Consider the following 21,223-nt stretch of genomic DNA (forward strand, 5'->3'; position numbering starts at 1 on the left):
TTGTTCATGAGCCTGTGGTGCTTTGTTATGGCAGCCCACATGGATGAAGATGCCAGGCCTGGGGATTTGCAAACACCACTTTAACACAGTAACCTCCAGAACGCCCCTGCCCTTCTCTTTAACCACACCGGTCATCAGAGTCGCAATGACATTTATTAAAAGATGCCTAAAGTTAGACACAACTCTGGTTGGAGGGAGAAGAACTTGGAGGAGATTGGGGGAAACCTCCCGCTCTCCAAAACATTTCTGTGGGATCCCTGGTTCCCAAAGTCAGACAGTGCTGAGGCTCTGGGTGGGTGGTCTCTTACACTGGGTTCATAACCCTCGCCAGGAAAAGGCTGCTCCAGGTGAAGTGGTCGAAGATCATGATGATGAAGGGCTGGTTGAAACGCAAGATGATAGGCTTGGACGTCAGGTTTAGGGTGACCCCAGTGGAGCCAGCTGTGTCCACACCCTCCTCATTGAGTTGCAGCACAGCTTTATGGACCACCTGTTAGGTACAGAATGAAGATGGGTAGTGAGACCTGCTGTGCGTTCTCGCTTTCCTGACTCATTGCTGGGACCCTTCACATCCTTGGTTTTAGGAAGGTAAATCCAGGGTCAGAGAAGGTCACTTGCTGGATTCTTATCCAAGTGGCAGCCCCAGGATTACACAGCCCAAGTCTGTCCACCTCCAGAACCTGGGCCGCACCTACACTTCCTATTCAAAGGGCAGATTGGGCCCATCACATGGAGATTAGAAGTCTCATGGCTTGAACTGGGCTTCACTGTCCATGTTGGGCGCTTCTTACCATCCTGGGGTAGCGGAGGGAGATCTTGCTCCCTTTCCACTCTGCTGGGTAAATGCTAGGGTTCAAGTTATGCAAAGTGCCTATGTCTGTTCTGTTTGGGAAAGCTGAGGCAGAATCTAAAAATGTAAATCTTTGACTGTTGATATGTCCTTGTTGTGATCAAAATTAGGAGGAGTTCTGAAGTCAGCAAAACGTCTGCCTAGCTTGTATCAAAAGACTCTGGTAACTCATAACCTGGCTAAATAAGTAACAGGTGATATTGGTGAGCTCACAACACCCTAAGGGGTGGGAACTTCCAGCGACTCTTTCCAGCAAGCACACTCAGGCTCTGGTGGCTCTGTGAGTGGCACCCATGGCTAGGAAGAAGCTGAGCTGGGATTGGAACCCCTGCAGTGTGTCTTGAGCAGATGAGGTTTTGAGTCAACAGGCCTGAGATCAAACATCAAACTGTTATTTACTAGCTCTGTGACTGTGGGGAAGCTGCATACCCTCCCTGAGCAGGAGATTCCTCATCTGAGAAATTGGGATAATACCTGCCTTCTGAGAAGGCAGCTGTGTTGACTCAATCCACTCACACAGCACGCATTTTACTGAGCACATATTACGTGCCAGGTACCACGGAGGCCACAAAGTCCTGTGTCTTGAGGTCAGGGGCCACACATCTGAGTAACGGGGGCATACACAGGGCCTACACAGTTTGGGATATATAGTAGGTGTTCAGTAAACATTTTCTGAATGCATGAATAACAGAACATAAAGCTGAAGGATTTATGTAATTGAATGGATGTAATTGGGTAGAAGGCTCAATATGATCCCAATTAGACATTTACCACTTTTCCTGTTTCTTTTTGCCAGGGGCCACTCACAGCTCTGCCATGACAACTTGGTTTTCACAGTTCCCCTCTGTGTGGTCTGGTGGGATGGGTAGGTGCCTGGCCTGTGGCCCTCCTGTGTCGACAGCTTCCTGTGTGATCTTGGGGATGTCATGTTTTCTTGCTGAGCCTCCATTTACCTCATGGTGAGACAAGGGGCTTTGACTCAACCTGGGGTTCTCAGCCAGGGACCTAGAGGCTCATTCATGAACGAACTCAGTGCCACTTCCTAGTATTATATTTATATTGTGAATTTTGGAGGGGGAAGAAAAGGTGGGTTCCCATGACATTTACCTTTGATGACTTCAGCTGGGCGTCCTGGGTGATGCGTGAGAAATTTGCCTGGTTGGTGAACAAGTCTGCAATGCCCATTTCCTCCAGCACATCTCCGAGGTCATAGACTCCAGAGATGGTGACCTTTGGAATGTACAGGTCCACCTGGCTGCTCGGGGTAAGCAGACAGAGTTAGACATTCCAGGGCTGGGCCTGGCAGAGGGGAGAGCAGCACCTCTTCTCCTGGCCAGACTCTTATTTCCTCATGCGCTCCCTCCAGCTCCTGCCCTCCAGCCTGACTTGCTCTTTGTGGGTAGGAGAAGGGACAGAGCAGGAGGCAGGATCTGTCTCTGCCTCCATGACACAGGCAGCTTTCCCACGGGGCCTCTGAATTGCACATTCTTTTCTTCTCTGCAATTCCTTCGAGCTGATTCCACCTGGGATGCAGCTGGACCATGGAGCATTTAAGACAATAGTCCATAATGAAGCCTTTTTAGTCCCAGGAGAACCCCTGCTAGAAGCAGAGGACTGGAGGGAGTGCCCAGCTGGGAGCAGTGGTCCCTGGCTCCAGCTGTGCCACTAATGCTGTGTGGCCTTTGCCAAGTCCAGCCCCTCTCTGTGCTAATGTCCTCACCTGCACACAAAGGTGGTTGAACACAGGCTCTCCCAGGGCAGGTGGGTGCGAAATCTCTGTGATTCTGCAAGAATCTGATTCAGCTGGCAGTTTCTACCAGATGAAGCAGGTGGGGTTTCTAGAAAGGTAAGTGGGGTCACACTAGGGGCAGCACGGGCATCTACGCTTTTTAACATGTCAAGGCCTTAGTGTTATTTTTAAATTCTTCTTGTGCCTTCTCCCCAGAGGGAGAGCAGATGTCTAAAACACTGAAACTGAGGGGTGTCAGTGAACTCGCACCGGCTCTCTTGGCAGATGGGAGGGAAGGCACGAGACCCTCTCCTCACTGAGCAAAAGCAGCCCTGAGTGAGGCCCGGAGGCTGGCAACCATCCTGCGTGAAGTGGAAGCCGCCCTTTTCTAAAGGAGAGGGAGAAGAACCAGAGGCGAGTCGGTGTGTACCTTCTCCAGGTGCGGAAATAGTAACAGAAAGAAAGGAAGGGAGACCAATTTATCCCAAACACCTGGTCTATGTTCTTTACTTTTTTTTTCTCCTCTCTCTGTCTCTCTCACACATGCATGTGCACACACACACATACGCACCTATGAAGTCGGAATCAACATCTTTAATTTCCAGGTTGAGAGACCAACACTTAAGAGAGGTTGAGGAATTCCCCCAAAGTCACACAACTGGGAGGCAACAGAACTGAAAAGGCCAGGACTAGTTTTGCCATCTGCCGCCTGCTGCGTTGTTGACAGCTCTCTGAGAGCAAGGTGATGGGGCTTTAAGTTATGTATTATTGATTAATGTTGCTCACATTGAAGTATTTTCATGAAAAGATTATTTTTGGTGTAAAGAAAGATAGATAGTCCTTCCCGTCATTTTCAGTGGAGTATGAGCTGGAATGCATTGTTTGCATCATGGTGCGTTATCACCCCCTTGTGGTATTACACCTAAATTACAGGTTTTCTTTGGTGGGTAGAAAGGAGGAAGAGATGGCAAATGGATCCCTAGCATCGCCCAGACACAGGTTCACACCCACGCATATATATGTGTACACACTCAAGCGTAGTTATGGATGGTTTAAGAACTGTGTCCTCCACATAGCTATAGGGGATTGCTCAGAAACACAGGGCTGACTACATGACTTCCCTACAGGAGAGAAGTCAAATTCCCAGACACTTCCATGTGCATTCACAGAACTGGATGAACTTCTCTAGAAGCACCCAGCATCAAATAGATCTCTGAAGGTATCATTCAAAATGAAAACAATCTGAAACCATAAACCACAAAACCTACATGTTAATAAAGTAGAGGAGCTTCCTCCTAGATTATCTACTGCAAAATTTTTAGACCACAACATTTGTCCAAGCCAAATTTGTCTTCATTACTGCTGGCCCTGCATTGTTGGCACTCTGGGCATGGTCCCCTGACTTCATGTCGGGTCTGGAGGCCACTTCCCCCTGGCTGAACTTCCATTCACACTCAAAGCAGTTTCAAGGGAAAACAACCTGCTCTGCAGCCCTTCCCCATTCCCGGGCAGAGTCAGGCATTCCCACCTCCCAACCAGTGGCATGTTACATATCTCTGTCTGTCTCTCTCAGAACTCACATTGTCGTACCACTATTAATTCCACCAGAATCTGTTTTCTGCTCTAGAGTGCATGTCTTTAAGGGCTCTGTTTTGTCCTATTCACCACTCCATCCCCTGTGCTTAGCTAGGGCATGGTACATAGCAAGTGCTTCCGTTTATGTGCATTGAATGAATGAGCGAATGAAATGCACATTGAATGAATGAATGAGTGAGTGAGTGAATGAAATGCTGCCTGATCCACCAGCCTTCCTGAGCTACTCCAGATCTACATTCCCACTCTCTCCTCAGCATCCCCCCTGCTTCTGAGTCTGCATCAGCCCCCCTGCCACCAGGTTTCATGCTGGTTGGCATTTTCTGACCCTTCTGCACAGATGGAACTTGAATCTCCCTGAGAGTGAGGACCATGTTCTAAGAACACCTCCTTCCTCCTTTAAGGTGAGGAGCAGGGCTGCGCACTTGCATGACAATAATTTCAATTACTGTCTAGCTCAGGGGTGCTTAGGGGGAAAATCTCATTTGTTTGTGCATCTGTCCATCCATCCAACCATCCACCCATCCATCCGCTCACTCATGCATCCATTTACTTATTCATTCATCCATTCATTTACTCATTCTCCATTCACTCACTCACCCATCCATTCACTCACTCACCATTCTATGCACTCACTCACCATTCTATGCACTCACTCACTTATTCATCCATTAATTCACTCACTCATTCATTCTTCCATCCATTCACTCACCCATCCATTCATTCAGGCATTCATTCATTCATTGCTGACTCACATCCTCAGCTGACCTTGCCTGAGTGTCAACCCTGCACCAGCCCCTTGCTTGGGCCTGAGGTCAGAGATAGAGGGAATCCATTGGCCGCTTCTCCTCCTGGCTACTGCCTCTTCAGGATATGCAGCCCTTGCTTTCTTTCTACTTACTCGCTTATTACCTACTTTAGCCTTGCTTTCTTAGTTGTTTACTGATGATTGATTGATTGAAGAGTTAGATGCCCTGAGTAACTTAAGAACCATTCATAGATTTTGCATTGGCTCCATGATGTATACATTTCATTATCATTTTCATTATATTTCTATGGGGTCTTCCAAGAATCTTTAGCAGGGCGTGGTTTCAGGTAAGCAAGATAACAAAACAGATAAGTGTGTAGCTGGGTGGTTGGTGAACTTACTTTAAGAAAATGCTACAAAAATATGACAATGCAGAGGGTATGTATGAACCTCACAGGGAAAGGGAACCTCACTCTGTGAAATGCCCCAAAGTATTTCAGTGTTGATGGACAGATCAATAAATAAGCGTGAGCTCTAGATTAGGGAAACTTACAGCCTTTGGGGGCCCAGCAGACAGGAAAACTGAGCCCTGGAGGGTGAGTCCAGGGAAGGAAGGATGCCCCAGCATACTCCCTTTCCACGTGCCCCACTTTCTGGGGACACGTGCATTGCAGAAATCAACATGATGGCTGGAGGACTTACCTGCTGGTCAGGCCTGCGGACCACCTGTTAATCGTGTCCCGGCTCAGTGCAGCGATGACTGTGTTCATCTTCCCCTTGTCCGGAAGGATGAAGAAGACAGTCCCATTGCCCACGTAGTTCATCTGCACCAGCTGGCAGGGGAGCTCCGAGTCATGAAGGTAACTGATGGTGCTCGACTGCAACATCATGGGCACCTTCACCACAGTTGTCTCGTCCACATAGAAGTTCTCCTCCCTGGTGCTTGCCAGGTCAAAGGGCTGTGTCCATGTGCCTAGGAAGAGGAGGAGACAGGTCTGTAGGGCAGAGAGGAAAACACAGTTCCAGGTGATCTCACGGGCCTACTATCCAAGTGACACAGTGGCCTTCTGCATGCTTGGAATGTCCCCATTCAAGCCTCAAGGGTTTTTAGGTAAGATATAAAAATTCCCAGAAATTTAAATCCTGTTTCATCCTCTACTTCTTGGAATGGGTTGAGGATGAGCTCTGTTTCTGAGACTGGCTTCTAAACAAGGAAGTAGGGAGAGACCAAGAGGGTACTGGTCCTTGGATTTGGGGGTAGGTCAGACTGTGCCTTGGCTCCCCATGCCTAGAGTGGGTCCCAGTTCTGAGGGCTCTGGAAGTGGTGCTAGACCTCAAGTCTCAAACTCAGAGTCCCTGGTGGGAAGCGAGGGGGCCATCTCCACCCCTGCCAGCCTGGCCGGCCCAGCTGAGGCTCCTGACCCTGCTGAATGGTCCTTCCTTCTAGGCCACGTTGTCCTAATGAAGAGTCAGGGTGAGAAGACTCCTTCAGGGTCACAGACTCCCACCCCCAGCAGGCCCTCAAGTCCCATCTACCATGTTCCAGGGTGCCACCATCCAGCTTGTTTTTTTGCCTTGAGATGGAGAGCTCACTACCTTCACAGATGGGACTTGGCGGTACTCGTCAGCTCTGATGGGAAGAAAATTGCTCCTCAGACTGAGCCAAAGCCTGCCTGATTGTCCGCCACCAGCAGGACCTCTTCTGTTCTTCTGAACTTATTCCAGACAACTGAGTCCACCTGCAGGAAACTTACCTGGGCTGAGTGTCACAGGGTCTCTCTGCTCTAGGTGACGTCTCCCCAGTCTTAAAGTGATGACTGAGGCCCTTGAGTCCAGCAGATCCCAGGTGTCCTGGCTGCCATTGACCACAAGCCCTGAAGCCCTTGCCAGGCCACCATTTCCCAGCCCAGGCTCCCTAAAGGTGGCCAGAACATCACTCCAGGTAGCCCTTTCTCCATCCTACTGTCTGTGGGATCTATGGATTGCTCAGCCAAAATTCTTGGTTCTAAGCCAGCCACAAACCTTTTGTAATAGCTACTTATGGAGACAACAGGGAGAGGCTGATGGATGTAGAGAAATCAGCCATGGCTGCGGAGTCTAGAGACACCAGAGCTATGCTGGTCCCTTCTTAATGACCTCACTAACCTTGATGTCTGCAGACACTGGCCAATGGTAGTAAACTCACCGTCCGTCTGTCTCACGGCAAATGAGATTATTTGAGGGTTCTCAAATCATCCTCCAAAGGAGGTCTAAAATCCTCAGAACCAGAGGGCAGTTGTATTTTGTGGCTAACTTACAGCAAAAAAACAAAGTGGGTAAAATATTTTTCATTGTTAGGTTTTTTTCGTCCTTAACATTTTGCTGCTTGCTTTTTATGGAGTATTTCTTTTCTAGGAGTAAGCATAATGTATATAGTTTGACACAAAACAAAATACAAAATGGGGTTCAGCCTCTACTTTAAGGGATCTATTCTCAAAAAGTTCTAGGAGAATTGGTGGTAGAGAAAGAATTTATTGGGGACGATCTGAGAGAGCAAGGATGGCTCCTCTGGAAAATCTTTTAACAATATTTTTAATGTTATTAAAAAAAAACTGTCAAGAAAGTCCGATAAATAACACATCAGGTGCTGGGTGCGGTGGCTCACACCTGTAATCCCAGCACTTTGGGAGGCCGAGGCGGGTGGATCATGAGGTCAGGAGATCGAGACCGTCCTGGCTAACGTGGTGAAACCCTGTCTGTACTAAAAATACAAAAAAATAAAAAAATTAGCCGGGTGTCATGGCAGGTGCCTGTAGTCCCAGCTACTCAGGAGGCTGAGGCAGGAGAATGGCATGAACCCGGGAGGCGGAGCTTGCAGTGAGCCAAGATTCTGCCACTGCACTCCAGCCTGGGCAACTGAGCAAGACTCCGTCTCAAAAAAAATAAAAATAAATAAATAAATAAATAACACATCAGGGCCATTTTACATATTCTACATTTAGTGATAATACCTACACTAATCTTGATTTCTGTTTATTATCCTGGCTTGCTAGAAATATTTCAGAGTATTTTGCCAAAAGTTTTAACCAAACACTCACGGATTCGTTTTGTTGTATTATAGAAAATCTGTGTACAATGAGGCATTTCATCTCCATCAATGTCTGGTCCTGCATTCAGGTGTTCCAAGTTTCTCTGATTTTGTAACCTAAAGCTGTGATCTCCTATCCACTTAGCCCCACTGTGGTCCTGAGGACACTGTGAAACCTCGTACAGAATGACACCAGGCCAGCACCCGTTCCACCAACACCCATTCCACCACATGTGCTCAGGCATCTCTCAGGCTCAGGAGGGCCCTCCCTGCACCTGGGTTTACTGTGCCTTTTCCCCAGGTTGTGTTGCCTGAACCTCTGTGCAACCACTGCTGAGCTTGTTCCATGCACCAAGCATTAAACAAGGGCACTGGAATCTCCCAAAGAGACAAAGATACCCTGCACAAGAGTGCACAGTCTCGTGGGGGAGATGGTCTATGGAATTTGTGGGAGCACACAGAAGAGTTTCTGGGCAAATGTTCCCAGCCTCCCTGGCCCTCCCATAGTCAGGTGTTAGGAAGGCTGCCTTTGCCTGGTCAGCCTCTCAGCCTCACCATCCTGCGAAGAGGGCGGCCTCTCCTGGGAGTTCCCAGCCTTGTGCTGGAGAGCAGGAAAGACCCAGAGGCAGGTAGAGAAGAAGGACTCGTAGAGATGCTAAGGCAGTCCAGGCAGTAAGGAGGTGCGGGATGGGAGGGGAGGTGGGCACAGTCTGATGGGAGGTCCTGAGAGAGAGCTGGGGAGGAGGGGAAGGGGGCATGAGGGGTCCTGGCTGGGGATCACATCTCCTCTGATCTGATGATCTTGTCGAGAGACACATGTTCAGTAGAGATACTGGCTTAGTTTGCTTATTTTGGCTGTTTTACCTGCATTCCTTTGAATATGATTGCTTAACTGAAACTCAACCACCTGGGTGCTAAACAACATGTTATGGCAAGATGATTGCCCAAACAAGGCATGGGCAAACTGTTGAGCATGCATATGAGGGCAAAGTCTTTCCTGGGTGACTCTGGGGAGGCTTCACAGAGGAGGTGACTTTTGAGCTAAGATTTGAAGTGAGGGAAGATGTTTTAGGCAGTCAGATAAGTTGCAAGAGGGCTCATGAGACAGAAGAGGCCTGGGCTTTGTGGCAGGCAGAATAACAGCCCTCCAAAATGTCCACATTCTAATCCCCAGAACTTGAGAATATGTTAGCTTTCATGTCCAGGGGGAATTAAAGTTGTAGAGGGAATCATAATTGCTAATCGGCTGGCCTTGAGATGGGCAGCCTATTCTGGATCACCCAGGTGGGCCATTATCCAGTGTAATCCTGAGGGTTCTTGTAAGTCAAAGAGGAAGGCAGGAAAGTCAGAATCAGAGAGATGTGATGAGGGAAGCAGAGGTGGGAATTTGCAATTACTGGCTTTGAAAATAAGAGAGGCCCACAGGCCATGTGGCTTCTAGAAGCTGGAAAAAGCCTGGAAGTGCATTCCCCCCTAGAGCTTCCAGGTTTTTATGAACAGGAAGATTGAAAAACTGAAGCAGGACCTGGTCAGAGCAGTGTGTGCAGGATGGCTTTGGGGGCATCTGGGAGTTCCCAAGGGGCTGGGTGGGGTTCTGTCTAGTTCTAGGCCATTTTTCCAGTCCCTGGCCCAGTGCTTGACAGTCAGCATTTGTGGAGCATGAAGCAGCCAGACTGTTCATGGTTACAGGTGTGGGCCTCAAACCAACCTGCCAGAATGTAGGCACATTGTTCAACCCTTCTGGGTGTCATTTTGATCTTTTGTAAAATAATATAATTCCACCTACCCAGCAGGATTGTGGTGAAGATGGAGATTCCCAGATGTGTATGTGCTTTACAGAATCAAAGACTTTGCCCAAGAGTGTGCCCTGGATTTTAGCGGCTGTTATTCCTGGCCATAGTGGATGGGCCTTCAGATGGGGATGGGTGGGAATACCTTTGAAGAAGATATAGTTGACCAGGACGAGGATGGCTGGGCTATCCAGCCCTGAAAACAAGTCGACAATTTTCCCCTGTGTCTTATTCTTGACATAGCTGTTGATCTGTCTGCTGGCTGTTGCCCAGTCCTGGAAATTCATAGCCAAGACCTCTGACTCATAGTAGTGCTTGATGTCTGCTGAGAATGACTCCAGCAACTCCAGGCTGCCATCAAGAAACAAGGCATTGCCCATGGTCATTTCTAAGCTGGTGTCTGACTTTGCAAAGAGTTGGTGCAGGTGCTGGAAACCCTGGTGGATCTCAGTCTCAGACCTCTCAGTGAGGTTGAAACCCAGGCCCTGGAGAAGCTGGGCCCGTGTGTGGCCACAGGTGCCCAGGGACAGCATAGCTAAGGCCATGGAGATGCTCACAGGGGAGATGAAAATGTTCTTTTTGGGACTCAAGGCCACTAGGTGCTTATACAGGCTGAAGGCAAAGTCAACGTTGGCTGAAGCCAGGCCCCGGTGATGGTTACTCATGTTCACATAAGCAGCGTTAGGATCCATGGCCTGGACGGTCCAGAGGCCGCTGGTGGGCAGCCAGAGAAGACAGGTGTACAGGAGGAGTGGCATTGTCCAGTATAGCCAGGCCCTGCCAAATCAGAAAAGCTTGTTAGATGCTGTGGCAGTCTCTGAGTCAATGGGGCGTAGTGCAAGAGGAGGCAGGCAAAAGACCCCATTCAAGCCCCAGTTCCTTCCTCCACACTGGCTGTGTGACCTGGAGCACATCACAGAGGGCGCTGGACTTCAGTTTCCTCATCTGGAGATATGAATAACAGCCGTTATGATTTATCCAGTGCCTGACAGGTACCCAACACTGATCTAGGTAGTCTGGCTATATTCAGTCATCTAACCATTACCAAAACACTCCTAAAGCAAGTATTATTAACATGATTTTAGGCAGGCAGAAATAGGTGCTCAGAAAGGTTAAAACCCACCCAAAGGATATGTTCAAAATGCTGGAAGAAAAGCAAAACACAATTAAAGCATTCCCAGAAAAACAAAAGCTGAGTAAGCTTTTTTCCACAATACCTACCCTGCAAGAAATGAGAGGCATTTTATTTCGGATTGAAATGAAAGGACACTGGACAGTAACTTTAAGCTGAATGAAGAAATAAAAGACCTCTGGTAAAGGTAGATGCGTGGGCAATTATAAGTTATGTTTTTGGGCACATGATGTGTAGATATAATTTGTTACATCAGTAACTGGAAACAGGAACAGAGCTATAAGGAAGCAGAGCTTTTGTATGCTATTGAAGTAAAGCTGGTTATATCAAATATACTATGGACTAAATGTATTATGAGCATACATATTACATTTTGGTTTAATTTATTTTCTCTATTGTTTTTCTATTCTTGATTTTATTTATCTCTGCTCTAATCTTTATTATTTCCTTCCTTCTGCTATTTTTCAGTTTAGTTTGCTCTTTTTCTAGTCTCTAAATTATAAACAAAGACTAAAAATTATTTTTACACATTAGCCTTCTAAAATATGATCCAAATATATGCTGTCTACAAGAGACTCATTTTAGATCCAAAAATGTAAATAGACTGACTGAAAGTGAAAGGATGGAAAAGTTACCCCATGCAAATAGTAATCAAAAGAGAGCAGGGGTGACTACACTAATATTAGACAAAATAGATTTTGAATTAAAAAAGTTCCAAAAGACAGGGCAATGACATATTAATAAAGTTTTCAGTACAGCAAGAAGATATAACATTTTTGGTTCTTCATTTCCTATATTACTGTCCTTTTTTGTATTTAGTTTTTGTACTGAAATGCTTTTTTGTATTGAAACACTTTAATAATTCTATTCTCATCCCTTTGTGGTTATTATGGGGATTACATTAGCATCCTAAAGTTAACACCTGAATTTGAATATATGCCATTGTTTATTTGAGATCTTCTTGTTTTTAATGTGTTTACAGCTTTACATTTCTATCATCACACTGCTTTCACTCATTCCATAAGTTTTGGTATGTTGTGTTTCCATTTTCGTTTGTCTTTAAGTATTTTCTAATTCCCCTGGTGGTATCTTTTTTGATCCTCTGGTTGATAAAGAGTGTGTTGTTTTTTCCACAATTTGTAAAATTTCCAGTTTTCCTTCTGTTATTGATTTCTAACTGCATCTCATTGTGATTGAAGAAGATACTTAGTATGATATCTGTCTTTTAAAATCTATTGACTCTTGATCTGTGGCCTAACATAGGGTCTATCTTGGAGAATGTCCTATTTGCACTTGAGAAGAATGTGTATTCTGTTGTTGTAGGGTGTTCTGTATAGGTCTGATACATCTAGCTTTTAGTGTGATATTCAAGTTCTCTATTTTCTTACTTATTTTATGTCTGGTTGTTCTATCCATTATTGAGAATGAGATATTGAAGTGTCTAAATTGCTGTAGAACGATTTCACCCTTCAATTATGTCCATTTTTGCTCAATTTATTTTGTCCCAGACACACTCAAAAATAATGTTTTACCAGCTGCTAAGGTTTGAATGTTTGTGTCCCCACAAATTCATATGTGGAAACCTATTCATGGGGGCTCTACCCTCATAAAAGGAATTAGTGCCTACATAAAAGAGGCCTGTGGCAGTATTTCTGGAAGAAATTGGCATATGAATCAGTGGATTGAGTTAAAGACAGCCACCTTTACCAATATGGGTGGGCATTTTTAATCTATTAAAGGCTGAATGGAACAAAGAGGTAGGAGAAGGGCAAATTCTCTCTTCTGTCCCTGAGCTGGACATCTGTGTTTACCAGCCCTGAACACTGGGCCTCCTGCTTCTTGGACCTTTAAACTCTGGGACTTAAACCAGCAGCCTTATTAGGCCCTTTTCCTATTGTGGAGCTGCACCATTGGCTCCTCCGGTTGTCAGGCCTTCAGACTCAGACTGAATTACATGGCTGGCTTTCCTGGGTCTCCAGCTTGCAGATGGCAGATTGTGGGACTTCTCAGCTTCTGTAATTACATAAGGCAATTCCCATAATGCCTCCTCTTATATATATTTCTATATATCCTATAGATTCTGTTTCTCTGGAGAACCCTGACTAATATAATGGATTAAATTAATTTTGAGAGCCTACTAATAGGATTATATGCCATACCCAATTTGGATTTATTTCTGTAATGCAAGGATGTTTCAACATACAAAAATTGATCAGTGTAATACATCATATTAACAAAATAAAAGAAAAAATCACATGATCATCTTAATTGGTGCAGAAAAAAGTATTTGACATAATTCAACACACCCTCGCATGATAAAAACACACAGCAGATTGAGACAGTCAAGTGTAAAGAGGTGCCTGGAGAACATTCAGTTGGCCTGCACACTGGGAGAATGGGGTGGAGCTGTGGGAAGTTTGTGCCCTTTGCAGCGGGGAGGAGCTTGGCCTCTCTCTCCTGATCCGATGTGGTAATCTGGGGATTCAGTCAGTCAGATGAGGGCCTGTTAACAGGACTCTCTCTTGCTTTGCTGAGTTGTTTTCCTTTTCACCCAATAAATTCCATTTTATTCACACCTCAAAGTGTCTGTGAGCCTAATCTTTCATGGCCATGTGACAAGGACCCCGTGTTTAGCTGGACTAAGTAGAAAGTCCTACAACAAAATTAGTAATAGAAGAAAACTACCTCAACATAATCAAGACTACGTATTTATAAAACCTTTTATACTCAATAGTGAAAGACTGAAAGCTTTTCCCCGAAGATCAGGAACAAAACAAGGATGCTTGTTCTCACTACTTTTACCTAATATAGCACTGGAATTTCTAGCCAGAGCAATTGGGCAAGGAAAGAAAAGGTATCCATATTTGAAAAGAAGAAGTAAAATTGTCTGTGTTCACAGATGACATGATCTTATATGTTCAAAACCCTAAAAATTCTATAGAACTCATAAACACATTTAGCAAAGTTGCAAGATATAAAATCAAAACACTAACATCAATTGCATTTCCCACCACTAACAAAGAAAACAATTTGAAAAGGAAATTGAGAAAACAATTCCATTTACAATAGTATGATAAAGAATAAAATAGGGATTAATCAGGGAGGTAAGAGACATACACTGAAAAGTACAAAACAGTGCTGAAGGCAATTAAAGAGGACATAAATAAATGGAAAGACATCCTGCATTCATGGATTGGAAGAAATTGCTAAGATGATAATACTATCCAATGCAGTCTATAGATTCAATGCAATTCCTATCAAAATTCCAGTTCTGTATTTCACAGAAATAGAAAAATTTATCCTAAAATTTATATAAAAATCTCAAGGGACCTGGATAGCCAAAACAATACTGAAGAAGAACAAAGTTGAAAGTCTTGCACTTTCTGATTTCAAAATTTACTACAAAACTATAATAATCAAAACAGTGTGGTACTGGCATAAAGACATACATAGAGACCAATGGAATAGAATACAGAACCCAGAAATAAGCCTTTCATATGTAGTAAAATGATTTTGACAAGGATGCCAGACCATTCAATGGGGAAAAGACAGCCTTTTCAACAAGTGGTGCTGAAAATTTGGATATTTACATGCAAAATAATGAAATTGGACCTTTAACACCATATACAAAAATTAATTCAAAATAGATCAATGACCTAAAGATGAGTTAAAATTATAAAAATCTTAGAAAAAAACATGGGGGAAAAACTTCATGATGTTGGCTTTGGCAATGATTTCTTGAATATCACACCAAAGCCATGGGCAACAAAATAAAAAATAAACAAATTGGACTTCATCAAAATTGAAAACTTTGTTCATCAAAGGATACTATCAATAAAGTAAAAATGCAACTCACAGAATGGGAAAACATTTGCAAATTTCATATCTGATAAGGAATTGATATCCAGGATATATAAAGAACTCCTAAAACCCAAGAACAACAACAAAACAAATAAACCCAGTTAGAAATGGGCAAAGGACTTGAGTGGACATCTTTTCAGAGACAACATACAAATGGCCAGTAAGCACATGAAAAGATGCTCAGCATCACTAATCATTAGGAATATCAAAACCGCAATGAGATACCACTTTGTATCCACAGGGATGGCTACTAACAGACAAACAAAACAGAAAACAATAAGTTGGCACACCAGGCATGATGGCCCGTGCCTGTAATCCCAGCTACTCTGAAAGCTGAGGCAGGAGGAATGCTTGAGGCCAGGAGTTTGAGACCAGCCTAGGTAACATAGCAAGATTTCCTTTAAAAAAATTTTTTTTTTAATTTAAATGTTAGCATTGCATGTGGGGAAATTGGAACCCTTATGCATTGCTGGTAGGAATATAAAGTGCTACAATGTGTGGAAAACAATATGACAGTTCTTTAAAAATTAAACAAATTGTCATTTGACCCAACAATTTTGCTTCGAGTATATACACCAAAGAACTGCAAGCAGCTAGTCAAGGAACTTGAAAAGATAATTGTAGACCAAAGTCACAGCAGCATTATTCACCATAGCCAAAAGATGAAAACAACCCAAATGTCTATCAATGGATGAATGAATAAACAAAGTCTGGTATAAACATACAATGGAATACTATTCAACTTTAAAAAGGAATGAAATTCTGACATTTCCTACAACATGGATGAACCTGGAAGACATTATGTTATGTGAAATAAGCCAGACACAAAAGGACAAATAGAGTCTAATTCTACACCTAGAGTAGCCGAATACCTAGGGACAGAAGTAAAATTGTGGTTACCAGGGGCCGGGGCAACGGGAGATTGGGGAGTTATTGTTGAGTGGGTATAGAGTTTCAGTCTGGGATGATGAAAAAGTTCCGGACATGGAAGGTGGTGATGGTGGCACAACAATGTGAATGTACTTTTATGAACTGTATGCTTGTAGTTAAAACGTTAGGTATTATATTTTCCCACAATACAAATTTAAGGAAAAAATTAAATATAAATGATTTAAAAAGAGTTCCATAAGAGCAATTAAAAAAAATCCACCCAAGGTTGGAATCAGTCGGTGGACACTGCCTGCCTGCAAGGTTAGTGGTTTCAGGCCCTGTGCTGTGTGGAGCTACCTGTATCACAATAAATACAGGATGCTTACAGGAGAAGCAGGTCTTACTGCACCACCCACTGTTGAACCAGCCATTCTGGGTGAGGGGCTGGGAACCCTCATTTAAACCAGTGCTCCAGGAGGTTGTGTTGTGTTAAATTAAATTAAAGATGGGCTAAAGCTGCCTCCTCATGTAGCAAACTGTAACCTAGCTTAATATGTAAACAAACTGCACCTAACTTGAGAGTATATGTTTGTAACAAGTAACCAAGTCTCAGCCAATCATAGCAGCTGAACTTTCAGTCAATCACAGCCTGCCAACTGCTCAGACATGTTCAAACAAGGCAAACACAGAGCTGTAACCTATCAGCCTATGTGTGTATGTCACTTCCTTCTTCTGCCTGTAAATACTGCCTACGTTGCTGGGTGGCACTCTCTGAACCTTTACTGGTTTAGGGTGCTGTGTGATTCATGAATTGTTTCTTTGCTCAAATAAACTCTGCTACGTTTAATTTGTCTAAAGTTTTCTTTTAACAGGTGCGCTCCGAGCGTGGGAACCACTGTTCTGCTCTGGAATTCCCTAGAGGCCCCTTCCCTGGTGTGTTCCAAAAGCAGAATCTCAAGAATGACAGGTGGGAACTCCCCCGCAAAACCCTTAGTTCTCCTGAGTCTCCCAAAACCCTCCTTGCGTGTCTCCCTTATCTCACCAGGGTGGAAAACAACCCCTGTTGGCTGCTCTAGCCCCTAGTTCTCTGCTTTAGATAATAGAGGCAGGTGTGACCTGCTCCCCACTCCCCGCACCCAAATGATGGGCTTTATTGAATTCTCCATCGGGTTTCTGACTTGGATTTCTGGGTCCTCGCGACAATTCTTTTGTCGCGAAACCCAGAAAAGATCCTGGGTTTCGTGGCAGATCAAGCTGGATTGGGGCCCTAGCACTGCCATGTATGAATTAGGTGATGTGGGACAGGCTACTTAAACTCTGCCTCAGTTTCCACAGTATAAAATAGAGCTGATAATAACACCTCTAGCCTTACCCATTTTTCTGGTGTTTGTCTATTCTCCAGTGCCTCTGCACAGCCTCCTCATCTCTCTCAGGACTCAGCAGTAGCCCCTACCTCGTCTCCCTGCCTCCTGTTCAACTCCCTCCAGCCCTTTTACCCATCTGCAGCTGCATCTTTTTAAATTCTCAAAAATTCAAGCTGATCGGTTCTGCTTTGAAGTTTTCAGGGACTCCCCATTGCCCACCACAGGGCTGATTCTCACTAATGTAGCCCAGGGGGTCTTTGTGACCCAGTCCCTGGTGACAGTTCTGCCTCCAGCCTCAAATCTGGCCCTTTGGGGTCTCAGCCACAGCAACACTGGGTGCCAGGGGTTCTTCCAGCACACATCAGCCTTTTCTCCCACTGTGGGGCAGGGCAGGGCATGTCACATCACTATAGGGCAGGTTACAGCAAGACAGGTCACTGCAGTTCCCCAGGGCAGGTCATTTTGATTTTTCCATGTTTGCTGAGCCCAGCTCTGGACTGGGAGCAGGGAACAAAGATGGATCTGCCTCAGTCCTGCCTATGTGGCTCCAGTCTGTAGGTCCCTCATCTCCCTGCCTCATCTGGCTCACTCCATCTTGTCCTTTGAGACTCAGGTCCCAGGTCACCGCCTCCAGGAAGCCTTGTATCTGTGCTTCTCTATGGCCTTGCCCCATGACAGGCAGTGAAATCTTTGCTTAGCTTTGGTCACTGCCATACCTATCTGGGATCTCCTCTCAGGCACAGGCCCTGTGCGGTATGATGCCAATGGTAGGATGGGCTCCCCTGCCAGCTCTGGGGAGATTGCATGTCTCACCTTCTCCTGCGTTAATTCTCTAAGATGAGGGTGAAAACTCCATCCACCCCACAATATTGTTGTGAATACCAGACGTGGCTGTTATCAGTGCTTGGCTTATGTGACCTCACTTAATGGGTCATCCTGGGGCCCATTTTACAGATGAGAAAACTGAGATCCAGGGAGACAGAGTAACTCCCCCTGAGCTGGAATTCTAAGCCTAGATGTCTGACATCGGAGCTTGTGCCATGCCATTCTGCCTATCTCTACAGAGAGCAAAATGATGAGTAAAGCAGCTCTTAAGAGTACCCAGCCATGGTCAGGTGTGGTGGCTCATGCCTGTAATCCCAGCACTTTTGGAAGCTGAGGTGGGCAGATCATCTGAGGTCAGGAGTTCGAGACTAGCCTTGCTAACATGGCGAAACCCATTTCTACTAAAAATACAAAAACATTAGCTGGGTGTGATGGTGTGTGCCTGTAATTCCAGCTACTCGGGAGGCTGAGGCTGGAGAATAGCTTGAACCCAGGAGGCAGAGGTTGCAGTGAGCCGAGATCGCACCATTGCACTCCAGCTTGGGCAACAAGAGTGAAATTCCATCTTAAAAAACAAACAAACAAACAAACAAAAAAGTACCCAGCCATATAAAAATGCAGAGTATCAATATTATTCATGCATTTCATGTCAAGTATGCCCTCTTTGTTCCTCATCTCTGAAGAGACTCACTTAGTAAATATTCACTGTGTTCTCTGTTTTCACAAATGCCCTATGAGCCAGGCACAGTTCTTGACCTTCTGTAGTGAAACCTCATGACATGTGGTACAGTGCAGACAGTTCTGTTCTCTGTGCATTATCTCTGCCCCAGGTCACTGAGTGAGGAGCCATGGTGGAGACAGGTCTGCGTGACTCAGAAGAATACCCCTGCACTGGGCCAGCTGAGCCCTCCCAGGCCCTGACCCGCGGCCAGCATCCTTCATCGGTGGTGCCGACTGGAGCAGATGCATTGTAGCTTGCAGGCTGCGACTCTGTGGCTGTTGTGGCTGTTGTGGCTATCTGGCTGGGCTTAGGAGCATCAATCATGGCAGTGGACGAGAATGGTTCTTAGCTACAGCCCTCTGTGTCAGCCCCCTGCATGGCAGGAACCCAGGGGACATCGGAACCCCTGTGGATGACTCACAGACTCCGGGGTCTGGAAAATCCTAACCAGATTGCCTCATAACACTGCTGGCTGCCCTAATGTTCAATGTGCCCTTTAAAAAAACAAAGCATCTCAACAAACCAAACAAGCGAGCTGCAGCCATGGCTTTGCTCTGGAGGCTGGGCAGGGGGAGGGACAGAGGGTTCTCAGGTGTTACTCACAGTCTGCGGTGGGCTCAGGCTGTTTCTGCTGGCTTGGTCCTGCTGTCCTGGACCCTAGCATGTGTACAGTAAGCCTGCGGTGGATGCTGCCTGTTAAATTTTGTTTGCCAGCTTCCTGGGTGGTTAATGGTTAGAGGGGCCAGTGGCCTTCACCGCTTGGTAGTCCTCTCCCCCGAGTCATTAACCAATGGGAGGCTTTGTCAGGATAGCTGAGTAAACACAGAAATGCTGCAAATTAACTTTGCTCTGCGTTCAATTCTATGAAGTCTTTTTTTAATACCAAAATGTGGCTGGAGTTGCATCAATGTGGTTGCCCTGTGTCAGTTGGCAGAGATGTCTTAGGTGCCCTTAATTAGCACCAAGGTGCAGATACTTGTAAAAAGAAAAATAGGTGTTTAGCTCCAATTGGGGATGACTTGGGCAAGGTCCTGCCTTCCAGTGGTCTTAGTCTGGTGGGAGAGACAGACATGGAATAATATCTGCCAAGCGCTTCCTCTGGATTATCTCACGAAATCTTCACAATGACTCTGTGAAGTGGGTACCATTGTCACTCCTCTTTAGATAGGAAACTGAGCTGCATGGAAGTTAAGTTAAACGCCCTTGAGATTCAAATCCAAGGCCATTCAATTCTAAAGTCTAGCACCTTCCCCTTTCCCCACATTTTATTTTTCATCAGTTTTCTTTGGATTACAGGTGACAGACATCAAATTTGAACTGCTTTAAAGCAAAAAGGAATGAATGAGAGGTCCAAGGGTGGAAAGGACTTCAGGCATGGATCTACGGAGTTCTAAATCAGGCATCAGATCTCTCCTTCTCTCTCTCTCTCTGTCTTTTTTTTTTTTTTATTCCTTCCTAGCTCTGCTTTCTTCTACTTTATTCTGTCTGCATTGGGGACAAATGTGGCCACAGTAGCTCTGGGTTATTTAGTTCTAACTGGTTAGTTGATATCAGAAGGAGAGAAATTCTCATTTTTCTCAATGTTCATAACAGTTCCCCCCAAAAGTCTATGGCGTGGTTGCCCCCCTTAGGACTGATTGATCACAGTGTGGAGAAGGATGAGGCATTGTGAATGCCTCGCTAGGGTTCTTTGCTCTCTGTTGGGTTGACAGCATCATTGCTTCCATCCAGAGATGAGGGAATCTCTTCCCAGGGGAAAAGAGGAGAGTAGAGCCTACAAATGGGTCTGCAGTTTTGGAGACACCTTAGTTTTGTAGATGTTTATTGGTCTTTTCAAGTTTCCTATCCTATAAGGCAAGTTTGAACTTTATATCTAGGAATTTATCTATTTCATCTAGATTTTCAAATTAAATACTACAGTTATTCATTAGGCCTCTCCATTATTATTTTTACATTATTATTTTATATCAGTAATTCTTTTTTCTTTTTTTGTTCTGTATTTTGTTTATGTCTTTTCTCCCTTTGATAAGTCCTGTTACAGAGATCTATATAGCTAATTAATCTTTCCAAAGATCCACCTTTTAGTTTTGTTACTGGTTTTTTAAAAAATTGATATTTCATTGATTTCTGTTTATATCTTTATTTTTTAATCACCCCTTTAAATTCTCTGGGTTTTGGTCTGTTGTGCTTTTTTCTATTTTCTTGAGATAAATGCTTAGCTTTCTTACATTTTAATATTTCCAGTCTCCACATAAATGTATTTAAGGTTACAAGTTTTCATCTAAATACTGAGTGAGCTATGTCCCACGCATTTTTGATAATTACTATTTTCATTGTAATTTTTTTCTAAGTATTTTAAAATTTCTTTTCTGGTTTCCTTTAAAACCAGAGTGTAGTTTAGTAATATGTCACTGAGTTTATTTAGAATTTTAGGCTATTCTCTTGTTATTCACTTCCAATTTTATTTCACTATGGTCAAAGAATATTGTCCATTATGATATTGAACATTTGGAATGTTTTGAGGTTTGTAATAGCCATATATGGTCTTTTTTTTTTTTTTTTTTTCGAGACGGAGTCTTCCTTTGTCATCCAGTCTGGAGTACGGTGGCGTGATCTCGGCTCACTGCAACCTCCGTCTCCTGGGTTCAAGGGATTCTCCTGCCTCAGCCTCCC

At 44.6% G+C, this 21,223-nt stretch overlaps 1 protein-coding gene across 2 annotated transcripts; it reads right to left on the reverse strand.

Annotated features, from left to right (window-relative positions):
* Positions 135–19,223, reverse strand: SERPINA6 (serpin family A member 6). 2 transcript variants are annotated; one of them, NM_001756.4, is made up of 5 exons: positions 19,154–19,223; positions 9,923–10,554; positions 5,623–5,893; positions 1,958–2,105; positions 135–490 (listed from the first exon to the last, which is right to left on the reverse strand). In NM_001756.4, exons 2-5 carry the CDS (start codon positions 10,533–10,535, stop codon positions 305–307), a joined length of 1,218 nt encoding a protein of 405 aa, NP_001747.3. In that variant the 5' UTR covers positions 10,536–10,554; positions 19,154–19,223; the 3' UTR covers positions 135–304. The 2 variants fall into 2 exon arrangements, with proteins under 2 accessions (NP_001747.3, XP_047287783.1); XM_047431827.1 differs by having other exon boundaries at positions 5,623–5,915; positions 9,774–10,554.

Source organism: Homo sapiens, chromosome 14, assembly GCF_000001405.40.
Source record: "Homo sapiens chromosome 14, GRCh38.p14 Primary Assembly".
Lineage (NCBI taxonomy): Eukaryota > Metazoa > Chordata > Mammalia > Primates > Hominidae > Homo > Homo sapiens.

Bases quoted from the DNA above. Each gene is read 5' to 3' on its own strand.
- SERPINA6 (XM_047431827.1), bottom strand. From the start codon at position 10,535: ATGCCACTCCTCCTGTACACCTGTCTTCTCTGGCTGCCCACCAGCGGC. The intron at 5,916-9,773 runs GTAGGTGGAATT...TCTGCCCTACAG, and splicing joins CTTCACCACAATCCTGCTGG to ACCTGTCTCCTCCTCTTCCT. The intron at 2,106-5,622 runs GTAAGTCCTCCA...TACCCCGAGCAG, and splicing joins TCCGCAGGCCTGACCAGCAG to CCAGGTGGACCTGTACATTC.